At 40.3% G+C, this 10,721-nt stretch overlaps 1 long non-coding RNA gene across 1 annotated transcript; it reads left to right on the forward strand.

Moving 5' to 3' along the window:
* The first annotated feature begins 502 nt into the window (after window positions 1–502).
* LOC124901114 (uncharacterized) lies at window positions 503–9,319 on the forward strand. Its single transcript, XR_007059001.1, has 3 exons — window positions 503–619; window positions 1,561–1,842; window positions 8,646–9,319. It is a non-coding gene; the product is annotated as an uncharacterized LOC124901114 (long non-coding RNA).
* The last annotated feature ends 1,402 nt before the right edge of the window (window positions 9,320–10,721 follow it).

A 10,721-nucleotide genomic window follows, 5' to 3' on the forward strand; every position in this document is an offset into this window, starting at 1 on the left:
GAAATGGTATTTGGCTTTCTTTCGGCTGTATTTGTATACATACATTATATATTTATAAAATTTCTATACAATTATAGGAAACTCTTATAATTCTGATATGACTTTTAGTGTATGTTATCAGATATAATTATAATTGTCATGTTAAATTACTTTTTGCCACAGAGGTAACAGATTTCCTTGTCAATTGTTTCTTTGACTATGGCTGCCTAAAACTTTTTGTCATCCATGAACAATTGTTGTCTTGTTTTGGTCCTCTTTAGAAGATGGTTTTATAATCAGCTATAAAACTCTAACAGGTGTTCTTGAATGCAGGGTTCTGATAACTTTGGAGATTGTGACATGAGAATAGAGGAAAACCTTTCAGGACTCATGGAGAGCTGAAATGTTCATGAATATCAAGCAGAACAGGAATTAACTCTATAGACTGAACTAATAGAAGACTGAAGTAATCTTTTTTACTTTTTGCCTAAAATGTTGCTGATCCTTTGTTTTGTTTTTTCAGAGTCAAGGAAACTTTTTTTAAGCTATTGACAGCTTTTAACAACTTAGTATACTCCTAAGAACAAAATGTGGAGCATATTTCTCTTTACATGATTTCTCCAGAATTTGGAAACTATTTGTGAGTATTGTTAACTTACAGCAATTTAGTTATTTGCATAAGCACAATAAGAATGCTGTCTTTTGCAACAGGACACCATTGGAGAAACTGTTTATTTTACCAAGGCTTTGACTGGAATGGTGTGCTTTCATTTAAGGACTCAAACTTGATTTATAGAGCCAATAAAAGCCCCTTGAGAAAACTAGCCTCATACTTGTCTACACAGTCCCTCTACAGGGTTCCTGATCTGTGGTAAGTAAAGAATGTCACTTTCTGACAGGCTCAGGAGCCCCAAGTTATCATGAGACCTAAAAAGGAGAGGAATTTACCCAACTCATAGGTATTTGATGGTACAAATCCATGGCTGGGCTCAGCTTTAAAAAAGTGTTATCTGAGATTCCTTCTATGGAACAAAGTTCCATCAAAGGTAATTTTAAAAGCCTATGTGAAAAATAATTATTCTTGCTACACTTTATACAAATATTCTGGCCAAGTATAATAAGGCAAATTCGTCCTACCATGATTTGTCTTTAGAAAAAATGGGAAACTAGAGATAGAAAAATTATGTTTCAAGAGTTATAGTGCACCAGTTGTTAGATTCTGGTCTTGCCTAATGTTTTTCGATTTTTATTATTTTCTACAATGTAGACTGAATTCTAATTTTTCCTGGCAATAAGTCTCCAAAATAATGTTTTCAATTATTTCTCCTTCTTTGTTTTCTTCTTACATTTTTTCTAATTTAAAATCACTGAAAACTAAGCCATGTTTTCTTAAAGCCCTGTGAACTGAAACTAGACAACTTATATGTCAGAAGAAAATAACAGCAACCTATTTACATACATAAGACACTTTTATACCTGCCTACAATATTACTTGAGTAATATTGCCTATATTGATTTTCCAGAAGTGTTCTTTTTCTGTTGTTATTTTTCTCCCTTCCTCCACCTATTTTATCTTCATAGGGCATGAGACTTCACAAAGTGCTAAAATTGAGCTTTCCTAATAATGTGGGACCTACTCATCTAGGAATAAACCATCCTAGCCATGAGAGATGAGACAAAACCTGAAACCAGAGACTCATTTTCTTCTAAAATGCTTTCTCCAAAAGATTTTCAAAAGAAAAGTGGGAAGGTGAAAAGAAAATAAATTGGCGGTTCCAAAATGGCCAAATAGGAACAGCGCCAGTCTACAGCTCCCAGCTTGAGCGACGCAGAAGACGGGTGATTTCTGCATTTCAAACTGAGGTATTGGGTTCATCTCACTGGGGATTGTCAGACAGTGGGTGCAGGACAGTGGGTGCAGCACACTGAGCATGAGCCGAAGCAGGGCGAGGCATCACCTCACCCGGGAAGTGCAAGGGGTCAGGGAATTCCCTTTCCTAGCCAAGGGAAGGGAGGACAAACAGCAACTGGAAAATCGGGTCACTCCCACCCTAATACTGTGCTTTTCCGACAGTCTTAGCAAATGGCACACCAGGAGATTATATCCTGCGCATGGCTTGGAGGGTCCTACGCACATGGAGCCTCGCTCATTGCTAGCACAGCAGTCTGAGATCGAACTGCAATGCAGCAGTGAGCCTGGGGGAGGGGTGCCCGCCATTGCTGAGGCTTGAGTAGGTAAACAAAGTGGCCAGGAAGCTCGAACTGGGAGGTGCCCACCGCAGCTCAAAGAGGCCTGCCTGCCTCTGTAGACTCCACCTCTGGGGGCAGGGCACAGTCGAACAAAAGGCAGCAGAAACCTCTGCAGACTTAAGTGTCCCTGGCTGACAGCTTGGAAGAGAGTAGTGGTTCTCCCAGCATGGAGCTTGAGATCTGAGAACAGACAGACTGCCTCAAGTGGGTCCCTGACCCCCAAGTAGCCTAACTGGGAGGCACCCCCCAGTAGGGGCAGACTGACACCTCACACGGCCGGGTACCTCTCTGAGACAAAACTTCCAGAGGAACGATCAGGCAGCAGCATTTGCTTTTCACCAGTATCTGCTGTTCTGCAGCCTCCACTGCTGATACCCAGGCAAACAGGATTTGGAGTGGACCTCCAGCAAACTCCAACAGACCTGCAGCTGAGGGTCCTGACTGTTAGAAGGAAAACTAACAAACAGAAAGGACATCCACACCAAAACCCCATCTGTACATCACCATCATCAAAGACCAAAGGTAGGTAAAACCACAAAGATGGGGAAAAAACAGAGCAGAAAAACTGAATATTCTAAAAATCAGAGTGCCTCTCCTCCTCCAAAGGAACACAGCTCCTCACCCGCAATGGAACAAAGCTGGATGGAGAATGACTTTGACAAGTTGAGAGAAGAAGTCTACAGATGGTCAAACTTCTCCAAGCTAAAGGAGGAAGTTCAAACCCAATGCAAAGAAGTTAAAACCCTTGAAAAAAGATTAGATGAATGGCTAACTAGAATAACCAATGCAGAGAAGTCCTTAAAGGACCTGATGGAGCTGAAAACCATGGCACAAGAACTATGTGATGAATGCACAAGCTTGAGTAGCTGATTTGATCAACTGGAAGAAAGGGTATCAGTGATGGAAGATCAAATGAATGAAATGAAGTAAGAAGAGAAGTTTAAAGAAAAAATAATACAAAGAAATGAACAAAGCCTCCAAGAAATATAGGACTATGTGAAAATACCAAATCTACATCTGATTGGTGTACCTGAAAGTGATGGAGAGAATGGAACCAAGTTGGAAAACTCTCTGCAGGATATTATCCAGGAGAACATCCCCAACCTAGCAAGGCAGGCCAACATTCAAATTCAGGAAATACAGAGAATGCCACAAAGATACTCCTTGAGAAGAGTAACTCCAAGACACATAACTGTCAGATTCATCAAAGTTGAAATGAAAGAAAAAATGTTAAGGGCAGCCAGAGAGAAAGGTCGGGTTACCCACAAAGGGAAGCCCATCAGACTAACAGCTGATCTCTTGGCAGAAACTCTACAAGCCAGAAGAGAGTGGGGGCCAATTTTCAACATTCTTAAAGAAAAGATTTTTCAACCCAGAATTTCATATGCAGCCAAACTAAGCTTCATAAGTGAAGGAGAAATAAAATACTTTACAGACAAGCAAATGATGAGAGATTTTGTCACCACCAGGCCTGCCCTACAAGAGCTCCTGAAGGAAGCATTAAACATGGAAAGGAACAACCGGTACCAGCCACTGCAAAAACATGCCAAATTGTAAAGACCATTGAGGCTAGGAAGAAACTGCATCAACTAACGAGCAAAATAACCAGCTAACATCATAATGACAGGAACAAATTCACACATAACACTATTAACCTTAAATGTAAGTGGGCTAAATGCTCCAATTAAAAGACACGGACTGGCAAATTGGATAAAGAGTCAAGACCCATCAGTGTGCTGTATTCAGGAAACCCATCTCACGTGCAGAGACACACATAGGCTCAAAATAAAGGGATGGAGGAAGATCTACCAAGCAAATGGAAAATAAAAAGAGGTAAGGGTTGCAGTCCTAGTCTCTGATAAAACAGACTTTAAACCAACAAAGATCAAAAGAGACAAAGAAGGCCATTACATAATGGTAAAGGGATCAATTCAACAAGAAGAGCTAACTATCTTAAATATATATGCACCCAATACAGGAGCACCCAGATTCATAAAGGAAGTCCTTAGAGACCTACAAAGAGACTTAGACTCCCACACAAGAATAATGGGAGACTTTAACACCCCACTGTCAACATTAGACAGATCAAGGAGACAGAAAGTTAACAAGGATATCCAGGAATTGAACTCAGCTCTGCACCAAGCAGACCTAATAGACTTCTACAGAACTCTCCACCCCAAATCAACAGAATATGCATTCTTCTCAGCACCACACCACACTTACTCCAAAATTGACCAAAATAGTTGGAAGTAAAGCACTCCTCAGCAAATGTAAAAGAACAGAAATTATAACAAACTGTCTCTCAGACCACAGTGCAATCAAACTAGAACTCAGGATTAAGAAACTCACTCAAAACCTCTCAACTACATGGAAACTGAACAACCTGCTCCTGAATGACTACTGGGTACATAATGAAATGAAGGCAGAAATAAACATGTTCTTTGAAACCAACGAGAACAAAGACACAACATACCAGAATTTCTGGGACACATTCAAAGCAGTGTGTAGAGGGAAATTTATAGCACTAAATGCCCACAAGAGAAAGCAGGAAAGATCTAAAATTGACACCTTAACATCACAATTAAAAGAACTAGAGAAGAAAGAGCAAACACATTCAAAAGCTAGCAGAAGGCAAGAAATAACTAAGATCAGAGCAGAACTGAAGGAGATAGAGACACAAAAAACCCTTCAAAAAATCAATGAATCCAGGAGCTGGGTTTTTGAAAAGATCCAAAAAATTGATAGACTGCTAGCAAGACTAATAAAGAAGAAAAGAGAGAAGAATCAAATAGATGCAATAAAAAATGACAAAGGGGATATCACCACCGATCTCACAGAAATACATACTACCATCAGAGAATACTATAAACACCTCTACACAAATAAACTAGAAAATCTAGAAGAAATGGATAAATTCCTCGACACATACACTCTCCCAAGACTAAACCAGGAAGAAGTTGAATCTCTGAATAGACCAATAACAGGCTCTGAAATTGAGGCAATAATTAATAGCTTACCAATCAAAAAAAGTCCAGGACCAGATGGAATTATAGCCGAATTCTACCAAAGGTACAAGGAGGAGCTGGTACCATTCCTTCTGAAACTATTCCAATCAACAGAAAAAGAGGGAATCCTCCCTAACTCATTTTATGAGGCCAGCATCATCCTGATACCAAAGCCGGGCAGAGACACAACAAAAAAAGATAATTTCAGAACAATACCCCTGATGAACATTGATGCAAAAATCCTCAATAAAATACTGGCAAACCAAATCCAGCAGCACATCAAAAAGCTTATCCACCATGATCAAGTGGGCTTCATCCCTGGGATGCAAGGCTGGTTCAACATATGCAAATCAATAAATGTAATCCAGCATATAAACAGAACCAGCGACAAAAACCACATGATTGTCTCAATAGATGCAGAAAAGGCCTTTGACAAAATTCAACAGTCCTTCATGCTAAAAACTCTCAATAAATTTGGTATCGATGGGACGTATCTCAAAATAATGAGAGCTATTTATTACAAACCCACAGCCAATATCATACTGAATGGGCAAAAACTGGAAGCATTCCCTTTGAAAACTGGCACAAGACAGGGATGCCCTCTCTCACCACTCCTATTCAACATAGTGTTGGAAGTTCTGGCCAGGGCAATCAGGCAGGAGAAGGAAATAAAGGGTATTCAATTAGGAAAAGAGGAAGTCAAATTGTCCCTGTTTGCAGATGACATGATTGTATATCTAGAAAACCCCATCGTCTCAGCCCAAAATCTCCTTAAGCTGATAAGCAACTTCAGCAAAGTCTCAGGATACAAAATCAATGTGCAAAAATCACAAGCATTCTTATACACCAATAACAGACAAACAGAGAGCCAAATCATGAGTGAACTCCCATTCACAATTGCTCCAAAGAGAATAAAATACCTAGGAATCCAACTTACAAGGGATGTGAAGGACCTCTTCAAGGAGAACTACAAACCACTGCTCAATGAAATAAAAGAGGATATAAACAAATGGAAGAACATTCCATGCTCATGGATAGCAAGAATCAATATCGTGAAAATGGCCATACTGCCCAAGGTAATTGATAGATTCAGTGCCATCCCCATAAAGCTACCAATGACTTTCTTCACAGAATTGGAAAAAACTACTTTAAAGTTCATATGGAACCAAAAAAGAGCCCGCATTGCCAAGTCAATCCTAAGCCAGAAGAACAAAGCTGGAGGCATCACACTACCTGACTTCAAGCTATACTACAAGGCTACAGTAACCAAAACAGCATGGTACTGGTACCAAAACAGAGATATAGACCAATGGAACAGAACAGAGCCCTCAGAAATAACACCACACATCTACAATTATCTGATCTTTGACAAACTTGAAAAAAACAAGCAATGGGGAAAGGATTCCCTATTTAATAAATGGTGCTGGGAAAACTGGCTAGCCATATGTAGAAAACTGAAACAGGATCCCTTCCTTACACCTTATACAAAAATTAATTCAAGATGGATTAAAGACTTAAACGTTAGACCTAAAACCATAAAAACCCTAGAAGAAAACCTAGGCAATACCATTCAGGCCATAGGCATGGGCAAGAACTTCATGTCTAAAACACCAAAAGCAATGGCAACAAAAGCCAAAATTGACAAATGGGATCTAATTAAACTAAAGAGCTTCTGCACAGCAAAAGAAACTACCATCAGAGTGAACAGGCACCCTACAGAATGGGAGAAAATTTTTTCAATCTACTCATCTGACAAAGGGCTAATATCCAGAATGTACAAAGAACTCAGACAAATGTACAAGAAAAAAACAACCCCATCAACAAGTGGGTGAAGGTTATAAACAGACACTTCTCAAAAGAAGACATTTATGCAGCCAAAAAACACATGAAAAAATGCTCACCATCACTGGCCATCAGAGAAATGCAAATCAAAACCACAATGAGATACCATCTCACACCAGTTAGAATGGCGATCATTAAAAAGTCAGAAAACAACAGGTGCTGGAGAGGATGTGGAGAAATAGGAACAGTTTTACACTGTTGGTGGGACTGTAAAGTGGTTCAACCATTGTGGAAGACAGTGTGGTGATTCCTCAGGGATCTAGAACTAGAAATACCATTTGACCCAGCCATCCCATTACTGGGTATATACCCAAAGGATTATAAATCATGCTGCTATAAAGACACATGCACACATGTGTTTATTGCAGCACTATTCACAATAGCAAAGACCTGGAACCAACCCAAATGTCCAACAATGATAGACTGGATTAAGAAAATGTGGCACATATACACCATGGAATACTATGCAGCCACAAAAAGGGATGAGTTCATGTCCTTTGTAGGGACATGGATGAAGCTGGAAACCATCATTCTCAGCAAACTATCGCAAGGACAAAAAACCAAACATCACATGTTCTCACTCGTAGGTGGGAATTGAACAATGAGAACACTTGGACACAGGAAGGGGGACATCACACACTGGGGCCTGTTGTGGGGTGGGAGGAGGGGGGAGGGATAGCATTAGGAGATATACCTAATGTAAGTGACGAGTTAATGGGTGCAGCACACCAACGTGGCACATGTATACATATGTAACAAACCTGCACGTTGTGCACATGTACCCTAGAACTTAAAGTATAATAATAACAATAAATAAATAAATAAGTAATAATAATAAATAGATGAACTGAGAGTGGGGAAAAAAAAGGAAAATAAATTTTGGGGCCCCCAAATCTCTATGCTAAAGGGAAAAGTCAAGCTGGGAACTGCTTAGGGCAAACCTGCCTCCCATTCTATTCAAAGTCATCCCTTTGCTCACTGAGATAAATGCATATCTGATTGCCTCCTTTGGAGAGGCTAATCAGAAATTCAGAAGAATGCAACCATTTGTCTCTTACCTTCCTATGACCTGGAAACCCCCTCCCCACTTTGAGTTGTCCTGCGTTTGCTTCAAATTGTCCTGCCTCTGCAGACCAAGACAGTGTTCATCTTACATATATTGATTGATGTTTCATATCTCCCTAAAATGTATAAATTCAAGCTGTGCTTGGACAACCTTGGGCACATGTCATCAGGACCTCCTGAGGCTGTGTTATGGGCACGTATCTTTAACTTTGGCAAAATGAGCTTTCTAAATTGACTGAGATCTGTCTCAGATATTTGTGGTTCACAGGGTTAAGCCTTTAATATATGAATTTTGTGGGGGAGGGTACAATTTAATTCATAGAAGTCAGGATGAAGTTACAGATTTTTCCATGGTGTTTCACTGCAGTACAGCAGTTACTTTTTATGAATTTTTATAAGTTTTCTCTAGCTAAAGCAACCAGGCTTTTGAGGGGTGAGTTGGGGGTAGGACTCTTTAGTCTGTGTCAATTGATGTTTCTGTGTTACCATATTCTTCAATTCCAGGCCTGGGATATATAAGCCAAAAAGAAAACCCAGCAAACTCAGTGCATTGAATCCCAAAGTCCCTAACTAGTGTGCCTTCTCTTCACTTTTTGGAGTCTTCTTTTGTTTGTTTCATCTGTGAAACACAGGGGACATGGTGGTTAAAGGAGCTCCACAGACCTTCTCTCTCCAAAAAATTACCATAAATGATAAGTTGAAAAAAATATAAAAAACAAACAACAACTAAAAAAACATTTCAAAGCTCTGGAAATTGTCCTAAGGATCACTGGAAGTGAAAAAACATTTATTTAAGAAAATCCAATAAATCTTGGTAAGAACTTTGAGATTCTGTGGCATTTAAGCCACAATCTTGTCTTCCCCTACCCATAGCTCAGCATGATGAAAGCTTCATTCCAAGGAGATGTGGCCAAGAAACAGAGCTTCTTCTTTCTCATTTTCCAGTCTAGAACTGTGGCGTCTCCCCATGAGGGGCAGGCCTCCAACTTTTCTCATTCTCTTAGCTCTGTGTTACAGAAGCTTTATTGTAGGCAACAATAGGGCTCTCGCAAAGCATGTCTTACACCTATAATCCCAGCTCTTTGGAAGGCCAAGGTGAAGGATTGCTTGAGTACAGGAATTCAAGACCAGCCCTGGCAACATAGCCAGACTTTATCTCGACAAAAATAAAAAAAAAATTATCCAGGTATGGGGGTGTACACCTATAGTCCCAGCTACTTGTGAGGCTGAGGAGGGAGGACTGCTTGAGCCCAGGAGGTCAAGGCTGCAGTGAGTTGAGATGATGCCACTACACTCCAGCTTGGGCAACAGAGTGAGACCCTGTCTCAAAAATCAAAAAAGAATGGGGCAGTTTCTCCTCCCAGCCTCCACTCCTAGAGCAGAGGCTCTACCCCATGTGTTACAAGCCGAGAATACTGGGGACCTACTTGCCTTAGCTCATTGTTAGGGCAGAGTTTTCATGCCAGGAGAAGCAAGTCAAGAAGACCAGAGGCTATTGCCCCCACCCAGTGCTCTGCTAGTAAAGCAGAGGTGTCATGCCAAGGGAAGGGGGCCACTGTCCCTGACTCCATCTCCACATAATTGGCATGTAGGTTTGCCCAGAGAGAGAGAGGAAGATTGTAAGAACAAAGAGGAACTTTGAAGCTTTCCCCAAGTAACTGATTGTATTTGGAACAGTTGAGTGGGGAAGTTCAAGCATAAGGGTACTTTCAAATATAATTGGTATTTTAATAGTAAGCAATTAAGAGGAAGCTGGTAGTGTTATGAGAGCAAGCTAAAGCCCAGATAGAAGTTTACCAGACAAGATTGAGGGGGTGAGGGAAACATCTGAGCCCTCCCAGAGTCAGAACAAACCTCAAGGACTGGCCTCAAAGACCACTCTTGTAAGAATCTGAATTTAATTATATCAGACTGTGGAACACTTTATGCCTTAGGGCACTGCCAAAAACAGTGAGGCAATGATCAAACAATTAGTGGAAGTCAAAGGCTAGGTGTGATACCAAGAGATGCAGATAGCTTAACAGGGACATCAGGGAAAGAGATAGTCATAGAGAGCCCTATTAAAAGTTACTGTCATCCCAGGATAACTCTGTCCATGCCCAAGGCTGCACTATCGGAAAAGTAACATTAGTATAAAAGATGGTATATACTACAGGGAAATACACATTATTAAAATAGTCCAGCCAAGCCACTAAACACATATACAAGTAAGAAAGACAACAGCTCCTGGGGGAGAGAATCAGTATCTGGACTGCTACAACACATTATCTAAAATGTCTGGTTTTCAACAAAAATAAATATGAAATATGTGAAGAGACAGAAAAATGTGACTCCTATGCAAGAGAAAAAGGAGACAACAGAAAGTGCTTTTGAAAGAGTCTATGTTTTGGACATAGCAGACAAACACTTCAAAGCAGCTATTATATGCAGGAGCAGTAGCATTCACCTTTAGTTCCAGCTACTTGGAAGGGTAAGGTGGGATGATTGCTTGAGCCCAGGAGTTTGAGTCCAGCCTGGACAACATAGTAAGACCTCATCTCTACTGATTAATAACAATAATAATAATAATAATGCAGCTAG

This window comes from Homo sapiens, chromosome 5, assembly GCF_000001405.40.
Source record: "Homo sapiens chromosome 5, GRCh38.p14 Primary Assembly".
Classification (NCBI taxonomy): domain Eukaryota; kingdom Metazoa; phylum Chordata; class Mammalia; order Primates; family Hominidae; genus Homo; species Homo sapiens.